Genomic DNA, 20,546 nt, shown 5'->3' with positions numbered 1-20,546 from the left:
GGGTTAAATACGCTTAGAAGAATGCCCAGTGCTCTCATTATGTTTTAGCTATTTATATTATTTAGTTCAAGAGGCAGCTTTTATCTTGGGAAGCTTTATTAATTATTAATAATGTTTCTTTTAAAAACACAAGTTGGTCTAGTTGCATAAATGCATACACTCAGGATGGGACTGGGAACCAGATGGAAATCTTAGGGAAGAAAGCAGCAAAGATATAAAAATGGACTCCATTCCCCTTCACTTAGCAGCTAAATAAAAAGGCCCCACTGAAATACAGAATTTCCTTGAGTAATAAGCATCCCTATATAAAAAAATGAAGAACTGGGGCTGTCTCCTGTGCTAGAGTTCGGACTCACTCCCCACACCACTTCCCTGCATGCTGAGTGACCAACTGTCCTCACCCATGGGGTAGTGACCCCCTTTGTGGGTGTGTGCCGGATTATGTGGCTCCCAAGAAATGACGAGAAGAGCCTGAGAATGAATGGTGGGAACCCAGCAGGGACACCTCAGTGAGGGGTGTGGCTGCAGTAGAGGAGGTGGCTCTCTGGGGACCACAGTGGGGCAGTCTTTTGTCTTGTCTCTTGATGCTGTGTGTGGGTCACTGTGGGTTCTGTTTCTATCACTTTGGAGGAATAGGTTGGCCCTTTGGTTGCCTGCCTGGGGATATTATTTTATGTGTCTAACTCAGGTTACTAATACTTCTACACTCAGGAGAACTGGCTGAGTCACTGTCAAAATCGGTCACCTGATGGTTCCTTTTAGGTCAGGCCTTGCATTAGGCAGCTTGGGCCTGAATTCTGACTCCGCTCCATCAGAATGTGACCTGGGGGAAGTCACTTAAACACAGACGGCCTGTCTTGGTCTGTTCATGTTGCTATAAAGGAATACCTGAGGCTGGGTCATTTATAAAGAAAAAATGTTTATTTGGCTCACAGTTCTACAGAAAGTGTGATGCCAACATCTGCATCTGGGGAAGGCCTCAGGCTGCTTCCAGTCATGGTGGGAGGGGAAGAAGAGCTGGCGTGTGAAGAGATCATACAGCGAGAGAGGAAGCAAGAGAGAGGGGAGGGGCCTGGCTCTTCCTAACAACCATTTCTAGTGGGAACTAGGAGTGAAAACTCACTCACCCGCAAGGGAGGGCATTAATTGTCCCTTCATAAGGGAGCCACCTCCGCGGCCCAAAGACCTCTCATTAGGCCTCACTTCCAGCTTTGGGGATCAAATTTCAACAGAGGTTCGGAGAAGACAAACATCCAAACTATAGCACAGCCTTGGCTTCCTCATATGGAAAACAGGGCCATCAATGCTTTTGTTATGAGAAATCAATGTTTGGTTATATGATCAGCAGTGCTTGGAGCACAGCAAAGAATCTGGTCAGTGAGTGGTGATTGTGATGCTGCTGCTGCTGATGGTGATGATGATGATGATAATGATGCTGGTGATGGTGATGCTGGTGATGATGATGGGGATGATGATGATGGGGATGATGATGATGCTAGTGATGGTGATGATGGTGATGATGGTGATGCTGGTGATGGTGATGCTGGTGATGGTGATGATGATGATGATGGGAATGATGATGATGATGGTGATGATGCTGGTGATGGTGATGATGATGAGGATGATGATGATGATGAGGATGATGATGATGGCGATGATGCTAGTGATGATAATGATGATGGTCTGTTGCAATGGGGAGTGTGGAGAAGGGTTGCATCATCTTTCCTCTGAACAGGAGTGAGGAAGCTCCTCTGGCTGCTGAGATGCTAGTGTTCCCTGGTCCCTCATTTCAGTAGGAACTCAGCTAGAGCACCCACCATTTCCTTATCACTCTCACGGTGTCCAGATCAGCCTGTTAAAGGCTTCAGACCACAGCTTCAACACTACATTCCCACTTTCTCTTTCTCAGCCTGAAATCTTCCTAATATATAATAGGATAACAGGGGAGCTACCTCACAAGTAGACCAGGGACATGAACAGGACTCTCATTGTACCCTAACTGAGATTGTTGAATATTCAGGGCCACAGCCACCACCCTAAGTGTTGATTTGAGGGGGACTCAGGCAGGACTTTCCTATCTACCAAGTGCTGTCTGCTGTTCCTTAAGGATAATATATTCCCTTTGAGTCAGAGAGATAATTTTTTTTTCTAACCTTCAAAAGGCTTCTATAAAGATTTAGATCTACAGGAGGAATCAGGGTCCTGGGGCTGAAGAGGACTTAGACACCAACTAGTCCATGAAGAAACTGACACTCTGTACAGCACTTGATGTTTTCCTGAAACATTTCACGTTCTTTCTCTCCTGGTCCTCCTGACAATCCTTCGAAGGAGGTAATATCAGATTCTTGTTTATAGATAAGGAAATAGAGTGATTTAGTATGGTGCAATGGTTAAGACTCCACAGCTAGCCCCTCAGGATTCAAGTTCTGGTTCTGCTATTTTTTATTTTATTTTATTTTATTTTATTTTATTTTATTTTATTTTATTTTATTTTATTTTATTTTTAGAGACAGGGTCTCGCTCTGTCACCCAGGATGGAGTGCAGTGGTGCAAACATAGCTCACTGCAGCCTCAAACTCCTGGGCTTAAGTGATCCTCCCACCTCAGCTTCCTGAGTAGCTGGGACAATACTCATAAGCCACCATCCCTGGCTAATTGTTTTAATTTTATTTTTTGTAGAGATAGGGTCTCACTTTGTTGCCTAAGCTGGTCTTGAACTCCTGGGCTCAAGTGATCCTCCAGCCTCAGCCTCCCAAAGCACTGGGATTACAGGCAGCTCCACTATTTACTAGCTGTGTGACCTTGAATAAGTTACTCAGCCTTTCTGTGCCTCATCTTTCCTATCTGTAAAATGGTGATAATGCTTGGTGCAATGGAAATGCTGCTATTTTTTATGATTATTCCTTAAACCAGGACACAGTAGACCTGTGGATTTCCTCAACACATGTTTATCGAGCCCCTACTATCTGTCAGGCACTATGCAAGTGCTGCAGATACAATAGTGAGCAAAACCAGACACTACCCCTTCCCTTACGGAGCTTCAAGTCTAGTGGGAGAGCTATGCATGAATCCAATCAATCACACTAATGTAAAATTACATGTGTCACGAAGGAGGCACATATGATGTTACTGCAAGAGGACAGAGCCAGTCTGGGGCCCCGGGGGAAGTGAAGACCGCAGTGAAATCTGATAAGTGAGTTGGAGTTAGCTAGACTGGGGATGGGGGTGGAGTGGACACAGGGCAGTCTGTGCAGGGGCCATCAAGGACACAGCAGCCTGGTAGAGGGACAACATGGACCTGCTCAAAGCCTGCTGAGGCTGGAGCACAGGGACCAGCACAGACCTGAGTGAGATGAGTCAGTGGGTAGGAAGGGCCTGATCATTCAGGTCCTCATAGGCGGTGTAACAGATTCTGATCTTCAGGAGCAAAAAGGAAGGATGCTAAGTGGAGAAGTGACAATAGCCACATCTGTGATGTGCAGTCCATCCTGCAGTGGAGGGTGGACAGGCGGATGGCCAGAGGGAATGGAGGCATGACTGTGAGGAGGCCCAGGGGAACAGTGGCCCTGGGGCCTGTGCTCAAGGAATAGTGCTGTGCTGGAGATTAATTATGTGTGTTGTCGGTAGGTTGATTACAGCCCCGGCCAGGGGGTGAGTTGGCCTAGGGAGACAGTCTAGAGCTGTGCTGTGTAATAGAGTTACCACTAGTCAAATGTAACTATTAAGCAATTAAAATGTGCAGGGTCTGAATTTAGATGTGATGTAAGTGTGAAATACACACTGAATGTTGAACTTAGTAAAAGAATGTAAAATGTCCTATTCATAATAAATCCATTGCATGTTGAAATATTTTGAATATATTGAATTAAAATATATTATTAAAATTAATTTTACCAGTTTTTTTTTCTAAAGATATGGCTACTTGCAAATTTAAATTCCATATGGAATTGGAATTTGTGGCTCGCACTGCGTCTAGAGTGAGACCTCAGTCAAGGACCCAGCCCTGGGAAATCGTCTTCAAAACAAGGCTTTTGCCAGAGGAGTGCAGGTGGAGAGGGGGATGGAAGGGCAAAGACAGGGTTGGGGGGGGCGGCGGGGGGAGGTCCTGTGAGGCAGCGCTTGCAGGCTGCAGGGGGTTAGAGGCAAGGCCCAGTTGCTCCCAAGTTTGCACTGCGTGGGGCCCAGCTCGCAGGCCCAGGACGTCGTTCTCTGCAGCTTGGTAGACGCCTCCTTTCTCGGCTCTAGCCTGGCTGGGTAAATGTCTACAGCAAGCCCTCAGCTTAGGGGAGGCAGAAGGAGGCAGACTATTTCATAATAACTCTTCTCCAAGTCTCAAATATTGTTTTTCACAACTCCCTCCTTAGCCGTTTGTGGAAGAAGTGCTCGTCCCACGGGATGGAGAGGGAGTGGGTGGGCGGCAGCTCCCGAGCCGGGGACCCCGGCTGGCTCCTGTGCGGCGTGACGGGGTGGTTGGCTGAGCCCTAGGCCCCCTCCGCCTGCCGCAGGCTGGGCTGGCGCTGCGGACCCAAGTGCAGCTCTTCCCCGCGGGGCACGGGCGCAGGCGGCGTCCCCAGGGAGGCGTGCGCGGGAGCGCCGGGGATGGGGGACGGGCGGGGCTGGAGCGGGGACCTACTTCCTTTTCTGTCCCAAGAGGACTCAAAGGAAAACAATTCACTTGATCCTGGATACGTTTTCATCTATAATTCGGAAATATGCAAATGAAAGGCCCACATGGTCTGAAAGGGGCAAATCAAGCTCCCAGCGTGCGGCGCGGGGAACCGGCTCTTCCCCAGGGAGCCCCGGAGGCGCGCGCCCCACGCCGAGGGCGCCCGGGGAGGAACCGCACCCCGGGCTCGGGAGTAGCGCGTCCGGGCCCTCAGCGGCCACCGCCCGGGGGCTCCCCAAGCCCGGTCCTTGCCCTCTGCCGCCCGCCCTCTAGGCCGAGCCTCCGCTCCCGCGATGTCGCCGCGCTCGCCGCCGCCAGGCGCGCTGGTCCGCCGGGTCGCCCGGGCGCGGGGCGCGCCGCCCGCCGCAGCCTCCCCTCTTCCCCCGGCTTGGCCCTGCGGCCCGCAGCGGGGTCCGGGGTAGAGCGGCCGCTTTGTTCCCGCCGCCCGACGGCGCGGGGCTCTGCAAAGGCGGAAGCTCGGCGCTCGCCATGACCCCGTGCGGACGCCCAGTGCGCCCAGCCTCGCCGCGCCGGCCGGGCCCCCGGGCCTTCCCGCGCTGAGCGCCCGAATCCGCCCCTTCCGCGGCCGCTCACCGCCCGCCGCCGCCGCAGTACGAGCCGCCTCCCCGCCCCCGCCCCCCCGCTTCGCCGCCGCCGCCGCCGCAGGAGAGGGAGGGAGGCGGAGGGAGGGAGGCGGCGGGCCCTGCCCAGAGCCCGTCCCGGGCGCCGGCAAGCGAGCTCCGGCCGCGGCGGCAGCGCCATCCCGGGCCGCGGGCAGCCGCCCCTCGCCCTCCGCGTCCGGAACTGCCTTCGCCTTCCCGCGACCCCGCAGCAGCCGGCCCTCGGGGCGCCACGAACGCTGTCCCCTCTGTGGAGCAGAGACCCCCTTCCCCTTCTTAGGGGGTGTCGCCTCGGGGATCGCTGAGCGCTAGGGGTCCAGGAGGCGGGGACGGGAGCGCCGTGACCCGCCATGGCTCAAGCGGCCAAACAGCTGAAGAAAATCAAAGACATCGAGGCGCAGGCCCTCCAGGAGCAGAAGGAGAAGGAGGAATCCAACAGGAAGCGGAGAAACCGCTCCCGTGACCGAAAGAAGAAGGTAGGAGGGGGCGGCGGTGAAAGCCCAGCGACCGCGGCACCTGCAAGTGGCTGCTGGGGGCAGGGGTCGGGCGGCCCGGGACGCGGTGGGGCGCGGCGCCCGGTGCGGCGGAGTTGGCGGCACCCGAGCGGGGAAGGCTCGGTGGGCGTAGAGGAGGGACGGAGGCTTCTGCGCGGCCGGGAAGGGGACAGGGCGGCAGGCTGGAAGGGCAGAGCGGGTGGCCGGGAGGCTGAGGGCGCGCAGAATCCTCCCGCCAGCTGCCCGCAGAGACCTTTCAGCACCTTGGACAGCACCCGGCAGGCCCGCGCTGCTCTAGGACCAACTTTCCCGGCCTTGGCTGCCGGCTGCGGGTGGTGGGCTGCCCTGCTCGGGCGCGCCGCACCCGCTGGCTTTCCAGGAGAGCTGGTTTGGGTAAACGCGGCTGCAGGCTCCGGGGAGCGGGCCGGGGGGGGGCAGCTCTGCCCGGCTTCTCCCTAGGTGACCCACTCTGACGAAGAGAGCGTCTTTCCCAGGTGTCTCTGAACGAGAGTCGGGCTCCTGCCCTTCCTTGACCCTTCTCAGGGAGCACCTTTCCTGACCCTCCGGATCTGGTAGCAGAAAAGAAGGCGCCTTCTCCTCTACCCGGGGTATTTGCAACATCTTATGCTCAGGTCACTCAAGATGAGCCATCCATGCCAGGGAGGGGAAGTTCCTTTGGAAGCCAGGCACGGGTGCTCCAGCCTGGCCCAAAGGCCTGGTCAGAGACCAGCTCTGCCCATGGGCAGACATCCCGGGTATTTCTGTGTCGGGGTGCCGAGACAAAATAGGCCCGCAAAGACCCAGACCTCCAGGGGCAACTGTTGCTGTTTTTAGCCCTTTTGGGGTCTGGGGTCCTCTTACCCCTGATCAAAGCACCTTGAGAAGCACCTTAGGTCAGAAACACCTTTGATGGTGAAAGGACGGTGACAGAAGTCAGGGCACCTTAGAGCCACGGAGGAGGCCAAGAGTACGTGGGTGTAATTCTGGGAATCGGAGATGCTGAACTCTGGATTCAGGAGAGCTATTTTCACCCGAAGAAGTCGATGTGGGGCCCAGCCTGCACGGCTCCCCAGCAAGGAGTGGGGCCCCTCAGGCTTCCAGGGAGAGGCTCTGGCCTTGGTTGAGAAGGAAACACGTTTTCTTTCCCTGAAACTGTCTCATTCCGAGAAAGAAGTTTGGAGCCTGCAGCTGACAGCAGAGTGTTGGGGAGCAGGCTGTCTGTGGGTCACACACCCCTTGACAGTTGGTCAGCAGACCAACATCCATCCTCTTCCTAGAGATGCTCTCTGATTTCAAAGGAAGTAACCAACACTCTCTAGGCTTTCCTGTACCCTTCAGAAACTGACGTCCCCACCTCCCTTGAGGGATTGCCATCTTGTGTGTAAATAGTAGTTTCACAAAGGCACCACCCCTTTAGAGGACCGAAAAGGGGCCTTTTTCAAACCGATGATGAATCAGAGTTTGGGTTGGTGCCACCGAGAGAGAATCTCCGCAGGTCCCTCTGCTGGGGTCTAAAATACCAGAGCCCGTCTTGTGAGTCAGGCAGGGGAAGTCTGGCTCTACGCTGCGATGCTCACCCACTTTCTTGGCGTGAATGTGAACTTCTTCTCGGGAAGGAGTGCTCTGTGTTTCCATTCCTGCCTCCTGCTTTGGAAGCCAAGGCGCTCCTCTCCGAGCTGCTCACTCAGTGTTCTCATCCACCTCTCTCTCGCAGCCTTCCTCCTTGACACTCCCGACACCATATATCATTTTTTGAAAATAGTCAAAAAACCCTCTCCCACCCCCTCTCCTGTGATTCTTTTCCATTCTGTGAAAATTCCCTTTAATATAACTCTGAATTCCAAATATGTATAATACACACATGTGAAAGCGGTGATTTCAATATTCTTTTTGCTTCTTTGCTCTTAATCTTTACATTTGTAGTAAACCTCATTTCTTTTTTTTTCTTTTGGTGGTAGATGATAATATTTAATATATTCCTCCCCCCAAATGGTGTTATCTTGTTTTACTAGCCGGTCGCAGCATACTGCGTCAGTAGCATTCAAAAATCTTCCATTCAGATTTTCATTATTTTATGCAGTATCCTGGGTGCTATGATTAATATAATGATAAGAAAATTTTCATTTAAAGTGATAGCAGTGACGCATACTCTTAGGACTGATTCTTTGGGTGCAGGGGAGATGGTATGGGGTGGGATGTAGGGATGCTTTGTTCGTATTTTGTAAGGGCTGTGAGTTTTCTCAGCCATTGGGATGGTCTTGAGGGTCATCTCAGAGAATAGAGTTAAAATTTATAGCAAAATTGAAAATCACAAGCAGGTGGAAAGCTCTAGAGGGAAAGGTGAGGGAGGCAGTGCAGAAAGGAGCATTTGAAGAAAGCTTACAAGGGGCCTGGTGAGGCAGAGGGCCTAGGGCTAACTCAAAGGTTCATATAAGGTGAAGTCTAACTAAGCCATTTTTCATGAAGGAGATAATTTTTCAAGGTGAAATGTATTAAAATCAGGCAGCTGAGGACTTTACAGCTGCTCACACAGACTACAGAGTGTGTGGACCCAGTTTCCGTTTCTTATACCAGCATGCAGAAGGAATTCCATACATGCAGACAAACATGTTACTCCAGGACATTGGCCTCTTGTGTGGATGGATAGCTGAGCCAAGGGCATTCTGAATTAACTCAAAGGAAAGGTGTTTGTCCCGCGGGTAACCTACTTACCAGGGACTGACTGAGCAGAACCGCATCCCTCCCGTTTGTAGAAATAACCATGGTTGTAACTTTGGCGATGGTTGCAGTTTTTACAGTTGATGATATTGTGTGGGAAGGTGCTTGCTAAGGGGTGCTGTGTGCGGGGGGTGGAGGAGGCTGGTGTTGTGACGCACTGACTGACACAGATAGAAGCCACCTCGACGCAGGGAACTGAGCTACACTCTGGAGCTCTAACAATGCCTGCTTCTCATGGGGCTTCATTCAGTGCTGTGCATGTGCAGAGCCAACCTTGTCAGCCACTTGCTGTTGTAGCTGCAGCTTAAAAAAATCCAGCGTTTATGATATTTACTGATAAGTCCCCCTGCTTTTGAAGGTTGGAATGGAAATACATTGCAAAGCATGTGTAAAGCAGGCATTTGCATGAAGGATGACAGCTTTTGAGGGCTGGGGGAGCCTGAGGCATAAGAATGTGTGTGCTTTTTATGTTTACCCAGAGCTTGAGGGTAGGAGGAGAAGAGGACAGGAAGATGGGAGGAAAAGTGAAGCAGAGGATAGAAGAGGGCAGAATTCAAGGAAGGAAGAGTGGATAGGGAGAGGAGCGCTGACGCCTTGGCCCTGAGTGACAGGTTCACACTAAGCCGGATACCTGCAACACGGTGAGACCCCAGGGTAGTGTTTACTCAGCTCTCTCCTTGTCCCTAGTTATGTTCACCTACTTCATCGTCTGATGGTGAAAGAAAAGACCATGTCCTATTCATAGCTGTGTACCTGACACCTAGCTCAGTACCTGACTCAAGCGGCAGGCAGTGGATGTTTGTGGAGTGAATGGTTGAATGAGTGAATTAATATAATATTAATCTCTGCTTGCCCAGATGTTGTCTTGGTTGCAGGCATGTGTTCCGGTGAATGATACACCCTTTGACTGACTGTCTTTTGGGGGCATCTGGAAAAAGCCTGATTTGTTTTCTCTTCTAATCATTTGCAAAGCAATAGAGATTTGTAGGGAGGCAGTGGAACCATCTAATCTTTTGGTGCAGTGGATTCCACCACTGAGCATGTAGTTAGTTCCTTGCAGGGTCTCTGCTACACTAAATGTCAAGTGATTTTAGACATTTGTAACAACAACAGTGTTTGCACAGGGTCCCAAGGAGCCAGGCACTCACAAGGAGGGATGGAGGAAGAGTGCAGGAAGAAAGAAAAGAAAGCCCAGGCCTGGAGAGTGGCCTCTGCCACTTAGCTGTGCAGGCAGCTCCGTCAGTCTTTCCAGTCTATGCAGCAGTAACCGAAGAGCCTGCAGCCTTCCTCTCTCAGCAGGAGGAGGCCCTGCTCCTGGACAGGAGAGGGGTTTTTTGTTGATCCAGTGATTGGAATCACAGGGGAGATTTGGGGTGGGGGGGCACCTGCGTGAGACTGGAGGGTTGACAAGGAGGCTTGGTGGGTCTGGAGGTGGGGAAAGTGGGATGGAGGGGGGAAAGTGGGATGGAGGGAGGAAAGTTAAGCATTAGAATCATGTTGGCCCATGACTTTCATTTGCAAAGGGCCTCAAATTTCAACTTCTGCTGTTATCTCCAAAAGGTTTTGTAAATTCAATCCAAGAGATTGCCGACAAAATTGAAAGAGAACAGTGCTCATCACACATCTTTAATCTGGGTCCTGTTGCTAAACCATTTCACTAATGTATGTTGTGGCATTAATGGATATTTATATGTAAAGCCTCAATTTGGCTTTTGATTAGCATACTTATGTTGTATTGCATGTGAATTATTAGAGCATTTGTTTCTTTGTTGCAAGACTTTAAAACATATCACAACTTTGGTATCCCTGCTTTGGCATTTCTTCTTATTGTAGTACCTCGGGAGCCTCCATAAATGAAGGTGGGCCTGCCTCTCTGGAGCTCTGGGAGGCGCCGGCAGGGGCTGAAGATGTGGGAATTTTCCCAGCCTGCCTCCTGTCCATTTTTTCAGTTCAGCTCCTCCCTCCCTGCTGCAGAGGTAGCAGTGGTGGGGGCTGTTCCCAGGATCTCTCCTCACTTCCCAGCCATAGGCTAGACCAGGAGAGCAGGGTCTTGAGGGCTGAGAAGATGTTACACTCTGAATTTTGGCTGCTGCTCCACCTCTGTGAAGGGTGACTGTGAGGAGCAAGTGATGTGCAAACCATCTAGTGCTGGACTGTCTCAGAGCAGGTGCAGCAGCAGCTGAAATTCAGAGCCTGGAGCAAGTCACCTCCCTGGGCAGGGGACACGAGCTGGCCTCCAGTGTCTCCCCGTTTCTTTTGCTCACCCCAGCAAAGGCTGCTGGCTCACCAGTTCTGCTCCTCTCCTCTCAATGTGGCAACACTTAAAAAAAAAAAACAAACTCATCTGAGGTTTCTTCCCTATTTTCACAATAAAAATGAGCACGTAGTGGCGAGTGTGTCCTATGTACAGGCGCTCTTCATCGGTGTTAGCTTGCCCCTGTGTCTGCTTTGGCAACACCTTTGAATAGGTGATCCTGTTATTGATTCCTTCCTCCTTCAATGTCAAAGCCCAACACTGTCGCCTGCAAGAAACCTTTCATATCTGTCCCCTCCTTACCCCCACCCCATTGCTCTCTCTGCACCTTCCACGCATACACACATGCACATGCAGAAGTTCTTGTTTTATCTCTTCTACTAAATTGTAAGCACTTTGAAGCCAACACTTGAGCCTTTGTACATAACCATTCACTAGATATCTATGGCTTGAATTGGTTGAAAAGCTACATTTAACTAGTACAGGTTTTTTTTCTTAGTTGTTCTTTTTGATTTTGAGAGAGTTGGCCCTAAAGAATTGGTACCAAGTAAATCTATTGTTTCCCCCACCTTGAATTCTTCTGACTGAAATAAAATCTATTGTCACTGTTTTTTTCTTCTTTTCTTTTTTTCTTTTTTCTTTTTTTTTTTTTTTTTGAGACGGAGTCTCGCTCTGTCACCCAGGCTGGAGTATAGTGCTACAACCTCAGCTCACTGCAACCTCCGCCTCCTGGGTTCAGGTGATTCTCCTGCCTCAGCCTCCAGAGTAGCTGGGACTACAGGCGCGTGTCACCATGCCTGGCTAATTTTTGTGTTTTTAGTAGAGACGGCATTTCACCATGTTGGCCAGGCTGGTCTCGAACTCCTGACCTCAAGTGATCCGCCTGCCTCGGCCTCCCAAAGTGCTGGGATTACAGGCTTGAGCCATTGTGCCCCCACCCAGCCAGTGTTTGTTTTTTTGAGAAAGGCAGATCAACTTTGCCTGGCTCTCTATCTCCATTTCTGGTTCTTGAGAAGCTCAAAACTCCACCTCCTACAGAACACTGGCATGGAGTCGGCTGCCCAGGTTCCAGTTTGAGCTCTTGCATGTATCAGCTACGTGTGCATGAACAAGCCTCTGAATTTCCTCCAGCCTCAGTTTTCTCATCTGTAAAATAGGGATGAAGATCAAATGAGATAATAAATGAGAATGTGCTTTGTAAATTTTAAAACTCCCATATATTTAATGGAGTATAGCTAATAAAATAATGATTGTTCATAAAGTTATTCTTTCTAATAAATCCTTTACCAAAGTTCATTCCTGGCCTTCCAATGGTATTGTGAAGTCTTGAGGTTTGCCGGGGAAGGCCAGCTTGTTATTCTTTCAGTACTGGGAAATGAGAAAAGGATACTTTAAATCATATCTTCATTTCATTTTCAGGAAAAAAAATGAATTTTCTATTTGGACAGGATTTTTATTGCAGACCTGCGCAGTAATCTGCATGGGTTCGTCAATAACTTCCAGGTGGGCTTAGATACTTGCAAGCTTTATTGAAGTCTTGTGTGGCACCAGTGCTGTATATCAGAGGGGAACATAAAAGGGCTTCCTAACTTTGCTGAGACTCCTATGGCTGTTAGATCCACAGGTAGTAAATCTGGGTGTGAACTGTCACAGATAATGGAATGTGTGGTGTTGTGGGGAGACCGGATTCCTCTGGCGGAGACTCTCTGGATCTTGGGTGCACAAAGCACAGCACATTCTCCAAGAAAGGAAAACTTGCATTGGAGACACTCAAAGTGAAAGCAAAGATGTAATGGCCAGCCAATTAAAAAAAGAGAGCACCATTCTTTCCTTCTCATTTGCTTCCAATGTGACTGGACTCTTCTTCTCAAAGATTTCCCTGTGTTTTTACCAAGGAAATAGTACATGTCCAATTGCTTTTGCATCCATTGGCGAGCATTGACAATGATATTTGCAAAAAAACTTCTTTCTTTATCAAGGGAGGTGCCTGCACTTATGAGGGTCTCCAGTGTTCCTCGTGCATGACATGCATTGTCACACTCTGTCGCCCAATAGGTTGATAACCCCAGAACTGGGCTCCAACCCAGATGCACCTGACTCCAAAGCTTATTAACAGCCCACAGCACTAGGCTACTTCCCCCAGGTATTGGTTGTGCCCTTAGGATATTCAAAGCTATGCTAGGCACTGAGAGAAGAGTCAAAGCTGAAGCTATCTTTCCTTCCCTGTCTGGGCACAGTGACTCATGCCAGTAATCCCACCACTTTGGGAGCCGAGATGGGAGGATCACTTAAGGCTAGGAGTTCAAGACCAACCTGGGCAACATGGTGAGACCCAGTCTCCACAAAAAATTTAAAAACTGAAGATAGTTTTCCTTCTTTGAAGTGAAGGACTTATAAATTAGTGGGAAAGCTGCCAGAGTTGGAAGTAACCTCAGGCAGAGGATGGAGAGCTTAGGGCAAAGCCTGTGGCCTCCGGTTCCAGTGGGAATGTGGGTGTCCGAGGCCCCTCAGAATGTCTTGGAGCTGAGGACTCCGTCGCCGGGCCCTGAGGTTAACACAGAGTGCAAATGAAAGAGCAGGTGAAAACGGAGTCCTGGGGTTTCTGCTTTGTTTCTGGCTAGTCTGTCTCTTAACAGGTTAACTTTCCCCTTAACTTCAGTTTGGAGATTCTCTGTTCACCACATCATCAAGTCAACATCTTCTCTATATAATCACTTCATAATGTGCAGACACTAGTCAATACAGAGGGGTGGCATTGCTGCCATGATTGTCTGTTTTTCCTGTTATCTGGGCCTTTAGCTTTTTATGTGGATGCTTCCCAGGCCTATCCCAGAAGCGCCTGCCAGGAGCCGGACACGGAGATGATACGATGAGGGTGGTGTGAATGGATGAGCCTGGCTGGCTCTTGCTCCGCAGCTCTCTCCTGGCTCTTGCATCCCCATGGTTCTGTCGCCTGCCCCTAAGAAGTCGGGTGGTCTGAGTAGTTTCCAATGTGCGGTATCACATTTGCATACAAATGTACATATGTAAGCGTGTGTATACGTGTGTACCTATGATCAGATGCCAACAGGGGCCCCTTCTTGATTTGGCATTTGGGCAGTTAGTTGATGACTTCCACTGAGCTTGGGAAAGAGGAGGGGGACGGGTTAGGAGGAAGATGGTGAGTCCTTCTTGGCATGTGGCATAGGTGGCTTCCTGGGGCTCTCACCTGATAGAGGGAGAGAGCTCATAGAAAACATCTTCGATAGCAGGGGCAGCTGCGGGGCTTGCAGTGGGAGGAGCTGGCAGTCAGCTCAAGTCTGTGCCCTCCAGCTAGGCCCTGGAACACAAAGCTTCTAAGCATTGGCTTTAAGTACGACACACACATGACCAAGCTGACAGGGTGTTAGGACAGCTAAGGATGCTGATGGTCCCACCCAGAAGCCAGCCCCACTGGCTGGAGGTGGGCTCAGGGAGCAGGACCCATCCACTCTTAAAGACAGGACTTTGGTGCCATCACCCATGTGGTGACGTATTTTACATTCACCAAAAACATGCTTAAAATGTTTTTAAGAATATTCTTTTAATTGAAAATAGGAATATGCTTCAGTTGTTGTGTTATGTTCACTTTAAATTGACACAATATACACTTGTATATATAATATACGTGGAATAGACCAGGAAGACTCAGGGCCAGAGTAGCCAAGTAACATGTCATCAGAGAAATACACACTATGTGAGCAGTGGTCATCTTTGTCATGTGTGTTTCCGGGTGATTGAATTTTCTTTTTTATCCTTTTCTGTATTTTTAATAATTGTTCAAAATAAGCTGGGCACAGTGGCTCACGCCTGTAATCCCAGCATTTTGGGAGGCCGAGGCAGGAGAATTGCTTGAGGCTAGGAGCTCAAGACCAGCCTGGGCAACACAGCAAGACCCTGTCTCTACAAAAACTAAGAAAATTTAAGAAAATTAGCCAGGTGTGGTGGCATGCCTGTAGTCCCACCTACTCAGGAGGCTGTGGCAGGAGATTCACTTGAGCCCAGGGGAGTTCAAGACTGCAGTGAGCTATGATGGTACCACAGCACTCCAGCTTGGGTGACAGAATGAGACTCTGTCTCTAAAAAAAAAAAAAAAAAAAAAAAGGAAAGGAAAGAAAAGAAGAAAGGAAAAAAATGTTAAAAATAAACAAGTTGTCGAGACACAGAAAGAAAAAGCAGAGGACGCCCCACCTGTCTAAGAGGGTAGCAGGGCTTTCTCTGACTGTGTGTCTTCTGGAGATGAAATCTGGAATGTATAGCTGATGCCACACCCTCAGTAAGGGATTCCAAGGTGCTGTGGACTAGAGCCAAGTAGGTAACGGAATGTACTGGCTCAAAGTGGAGCTGAAGCGTGGCCCCCAAGAGCCCAGGCAGTTGGGTCTTGGCATATGAAGACTTCCATTGTAAACCAACTTGAAAATGTATGTGTGTTGGGCCTAATACTCCCTTCTGCAGCCAGGGGGATCTTCCAAAAATGCAAATCAGATCCTGACACTCCCTTCTTTCAGTCCTTCAGTGGCTTCCTAATTGCCCTTAGAATGAAGTCCAGGCTGGTTAACCAGGCTTCCTCCCTTCCACCCCCTGAATCTACTCCCTAGCTGCCTCTCCTGTCTTATTGCTGTCTTTCCTGCATCCTGCACTGGGCTGTACACTGATACTTGGAAATGTGTGCCTTCACTTGCTTTTAGATCTTCCTGTGTGCCACATCCTTGGCCTCCAACATCAATGTCAAGTCCTCCGTCAGAACGCAGTTGAAACATTGCCTCCAGTGTCCTAGATGAGGTTGGGCTCCCCTGTCCCATACTATTCCAGTGTACCCTTGGGCAAGGGGGCCAGAGCATCAGCAGAGCTTTAGCATGCGTCAGGAAGCAGTAATGAAGAGCTGTGGCCTGTGGAGTGAGATGGAGTCAGATGTTTACTGGCTGGCTTTGAGCAAGTTGCTCAATAGTGCTCCCTGAGTCTCAATTTTGTCAATTGTAAGGTGGAGAGAATAATACCCACCCCACAGCCATGCAGGGCTGTTGGGAGGATTGAAGGACTTAATATATGGAAAGTACCTGGCATATAAGCACTTGGTAAATGGCAGGACAATGCCTCAGCTCCCACCCATATCCACCTTGGGGCTGCCCATAAAATCCAAGACATGAGCATTAGCAGGCTGTGGACCTAGGGGTGGGTGGCAGAGAGAAACACATGTCTGCACCTGAGCCCTGAATGGGTAAATAGATGAAGACTTAAAAAATGTGGGCCTTGGAGTTTTCCTCTTTAATCCCGAATGAGACTTAAAAGATGAACGTCCTGTCCCACCTGGCTAAATTCTCACCTTGTATTTATTAATTTAAATGCAGTGTTAGCCTTTCTGGAGATGGCCATCAGGTCAAATGCCAAGGTTGGTAGTACTCAGCTAGTATTGCTGCCAGTTTCTTAAATGAGTTAGTAAAGAATTTGGAGAAATGTGAACCTGATCTGAAACTCAGAGTGAAGAATCAGAAACAGCCCAAGTCAGGCAAACTTCAAAGTCTGAAACATCCATAGAGTTGCACTGAATTTATGGAGACACTAGATTCTCCTGCGGCATAGAGATTTGGCCAGTTCATTGTAATGCCATTTGCAAGAGCTGCTTTGGTTGCTACCATTGACCACACTCTGGAGAGGAGACTGTTTCCCTGCTGATCTGAGGTTACACAGTGCCAGTGGGCAGGGAAGGCCCTTCCACAGCTTGTTTAGCCTGTGAAGCCTTGGGAAGGGACAGGTGTGTGATGGATCCAGCCAGTAGTCTCCTCTGATTTGGGATAGCACACAATGCAAGGGACCCAGGGCCTGTCCGCCGACATGGAGCAATGTCTGGAAATCGTGGTGTTTTACCAAGTTCTTGAGCTGTTGCACTTAACTATGGTATCTGCTTTAGGCAAAGCAAACCATAGTCAAACCATTTGTCTTTTCAAAAAAATATTGTCTTCTTGCCAGTCACATGTATCACTTCATTCTTGAACAGATCTGCATTTGAAGGACACCTGGACTACAGCTGGTGTGGTTGAATGTTAGCACTTTTAACCCAGATGTCAATACTGCCCCACACAGGACTTACAAGACACAGACGGAAAAACTTTATGATTCTGTACCGAGCACCATCACCAGATTTCTCAGGAAGAACTTTTAAGGCTAACTCCAGTGAACTCACCATCCTCACTGCTGCTGGAGTCTCCATTGCATCCCTGCTTCCTCTAGTCTTGCCCTTCCAATACGGTCTTTATCTTGCAGCGAGAGCCCCTTTTTTTTTTTCAAACACAAATGTGATAGTTGTCACTTCCCTTCCGAAAACCCTTCCGTTGCTTTCCCCTGCCTTGAGGATGAAGTCAGACCCTTCCCCGACCACTGTGCCTCACCCCTCCCCAAGCCTCCCCGTGCTCCTAGGATTTGCTGGGCTCCCTTGACCCACACCTTGCGCAGGGTGCTCCCTCTCCGGAACTCAGTCTGATTCCCCCTCATCCCTTGTTTGTTTGTTTATTTATTTTGAGACAAGGTCTCACCCTGTCTCCCAGGCTGGAGTGCAGTGGCATAATCACAGTTTATTGCAGCCTTGAACTCCTGGGCTCAAACGATCCTCCCAACACAGCCTCTGAGTAGCTAGGACTACAGACACGCACCACCAAACTGGGTATTTTTTTATTTCTTGTAGAGACAGAGTCTCACTATGTTGCCCAGGCTGGTCTCCAACTCCTGGGCTCAAGTGATCCTCCTGCCTCGGACTCTGAAAGCTCTGGGATTACAGATGCGAGCCGCGGTGCTCGGCCTCTACTCATCCTTTAAGCTTCACCTCCTCCAGGAAGCTTTCCTGAGTCTGGGTCTGAGATACTATGGAAGAAGTGCCTGTCCTGAGGGACGCTGGATGCAGTGGTGACCAGATCCCTTCCCACTCTGCCACTGTATGTTAGCTGAGGCAGTTTCCCAGACCCTTTAATGCAGTGGTGCCTTTATTATTTATTCATTTATTTATTTGAGACAGATTCTCACTCTGTTGCCCAGGCTGGAGTGCAATGGCGTGTTCTTGGCTCACTGAAACCTCTGCCTCCCAGGTTCAAGTGATTCTCCTGCCTCATCCTCCCAAGTAGCTGGGATTACAGGCACATGCCACCATGCCCGGCTCATGTTTTATTTTTGTGGAGACAGGGTTTCACCATATTACCCAGGCTGGTCTTAAACTCCTGGTCTCAAGAAATCTGTCTGCCTCGGCCTCCCAAAGTGCTGGGATTAAGGTGTGAGCCACTGCGCTCAGCCGTAGTGGCACCTTTAGTGAAGTCCTAGAGCAACTCCGTGAGGAAATGGAACCAATGCATTCCCTGGCATCTCCCAGTTCCCTGGGCCGGAGAACAATCTGAGTTGTTGGAGCCTCTGCCCCTCCAGTGCCACTCCCTCTGATTTATGAACATTAACTGTGCTGCTGTGGATGAAGAGAACCTGCCCTCGACAACAGAGCTGTGCTTAGTTCCAGTCCTCTTGACTGTCCTGTGTAGCTTTGGACACAGAGGCTCTCCTGCTTCTGAGCCTCTGTATTTAGTTTAGAGGACTCTTAAGACCCTTCTGGGAAGCCAGGTGCTGTAGCTCATGCCTGTAATCCCAGCTCTTTGGGTGGCTGAGGTGGGAAGATCCCTTCAGCCCAGGAGTTCAAGACCAGCCTGGGCCACACAGGAAGACCCCATCTCTACAAAAAATTTAAAAATTAGCCAGGTGTGGTGGTGCGTGCCTGTATTCCCAGCTACTTAGGAGGTTGAGGTGGGAGGATCACTTGAACCCAGGAGGTTGAGGCTGCAGTGAACTATGATTGTGCCATGAACTTTAGCCTGGGCAACAGAATGAGACTCTGTCTCAAAACAAACAAACAAACAAACAAACAAACAAACAAACATGAGATCCTTCTCGGTACCTGTTATGCTCTGATTATGTGGGTTTACAAGGCCACAGGGCAGAATGGTTCCAGATGCCAACTGGCTTACATGGGCCTAAGGTAGCTTGAAGGGAAATCTGGATGAGTGGTGGCACCAGACTGCAAGGCATATGAGTGTGAACGGACATGCAAAAGGCCATCCACCTCATTAGTACCCCATTCCACCTGGCATCTCATTGCCCCCATGCTGACCATGTTGTGGGTTGATATGGGGAGGAATCTATGCTGATGAAGTGCCCGGGGCCACACACGCTGTGGGAGTGTGGGCTGTGCTCTTTGTTAACAGAGCTGGCCCTTTGGATATGTGTTTTTGAAGACTCTGTCTCTCGCTGAGCCTGTGTAATCAGGCAACCCTGTGACTCTATAAACCTCTGGCTGAGGCCAGGGAGGAGGTGCCCTTTCTGTTGGCCAAAAGAGTGACTTTGGGGAGGGCGGAGAGCACCTGCCTCAGGTGAACAGGGAATGCAGGGGGCAGAATGGTGTCTGTTTTCAATGTAAGGTGACTGGCTCTGTCACACAGCGCCAAGTTGCTTTCAAGGTCACGGGCACAGCCATCTTCCTCTGTGGAGCTTGTAGGAGCGTGGAGGCCCTGACTCCAGAGGGAGAGGGGGCTAAGCAGCCCTGGCTGCCTGTTTTCCTGGAAAGCAACTAAGGCAATCCCACAGCCCAGAGCACTGGCGATGTTCTGTGGGGTGCATGAAACCAGGGTCAGACAGGCCTGCTTTTTGGAGGCTTGGCTTGTAGTGGTGAATTTGATATTTTTGGTAAGTTCCAGTTTCTTCCGTTTCTGAGTTTCCAAGGACTCGGGATTCTCAGGAGAGATCAGTCTCCCGGTTCACCCTGGCTGGAGTTCCTTTTCAATTTCAGTCCCTCCCAGTGCCCATCTCCAACACCCTGGGATGCATTCCTCACTGGTTGTCATGGAAGCTCCAGGTGCTGAACACCTTTTGCATTTTTCTCTAGTGGCTGCTCAGCTGGGGCTGGGGAGAGGAGAGAGGGAACTCCCCCAGGAAGGTGATGGTCAGGTTTGGGCTGCTGTTGAGCTGGAACCCTCTACTGTGGCTGCATGTACGGGGCGATGAACCCTGGAAACTCAGGCTTCCAGGAGCCCCAGGGCGTGGGGCCTGCACCGTGTGGATGGTGTCCCGTGGTGTTACATGGAGCTCAGTGGCTCACCAGGCGCTTCCCAGGGCATTATGTCATTGATCTTCCCAGCAACCCTGTGGAGAAGCAGGTATCATGTTTCCCATTTCACATGGGAGAAAACTAAGGCTCAGGAAGATTAAGTGCATTTCACACCACTGCGCAGTGGCAGAGGCGGGGGGAAGCCTTCAACAGTCCCTCTCCAAAGTCCCGATTTATAACAAGCAGGCGGTGACAGATGTAGGGTTTGTGGTTTGAAATTCATGTCATTTTCTCGTCTATCAACTGCCCACCCAGCTACTAGCAGGAAAAGAGCCAGGCCCCGTGACCTGTGGCTGATCTTCTCTCCATGAAAGGAGACAGGGAAGGCAAGGACCATCTGTGTTGGCTATGCTCCCCACTCAAGCCCACTCGGCCCTCACAAGCCAGGCAGGTGCGTGGGAACGGTGTTTTACAGGTGAGGACCTTGGGAGGCTCAGGAAGGTGAAGTCCCTTGCTCACGTCACATGTCTAATGAGAGCCAGAGCTGGGGTTTGTCCCAGCCGCCTGATTTTAACATCCTTGGCTTACTGCTTCCAGGGTGATTGTGAGGATTAAATAAAATGAAATAAGTACCTAAGAGGAAAAAAGTGAGAGGCAGAAGGCTAAACAGAAAGAATGTTTTGAAAGCATGTAACACAGAGCCTAG

The 20,546-nt window shown here is 50.1% G+C and overlaps 1 protein-coding gene across 1 annotated transcript in view, besides 1 other annotated feature; it reads left to right on the top strand.

Annotated features, from left to right (window-relative positions):
- Positions 202-388: a silencer, noted in NCBI's record as "fragment chr8:41759247-41759433 (GRCh37/hg19 assembly coordinates)". NCBI's record gives its function as "represses an EF-1alpha promoter that drives an FKBP-Casp9 reporter gene in an ReSE screen in K562 erythroleukemia cells {active_cell/tissue: K562}" and the evidence as "EXISTENCE:reporter gene assay evidence [ECO:0000049][PMID:32094911]".
- Positions 5,376-20,546, top strand: part of ANK1 (ankyrin 1) — a 243,517-nt gene continuing 228,346 nt past the window's right edge. The window contains exon 1 of the mRNA NM_001142446.2: positions 5,376-5,762. Within this exon, the coding sequence (NP_001135918.1) occupies positions 5,637-5,762 (126 nt within the window). The 5' untranslated portion in view covers positions 5,376-5,636. The remainder of the gene's footprint in view (positions 5,763-20,546) is intronic.

This window comes from Homo sapiens, chromosome 8, assembly GCF_000001405.40.
Source record: "Homo sapiens chromosome 8, GRCh38.p14 Primary Assembly".
NCBI classification, from domain to species: Eukaryota; Metazoa; Chordata; class Mammalia; order Primates; family Hominidae; genus Homo; species Homo sapiens.
Note: the sequence above shows the minus strand (reverse complement) of the source record. Positions and strands in the feature narration are given on the sequence as shown.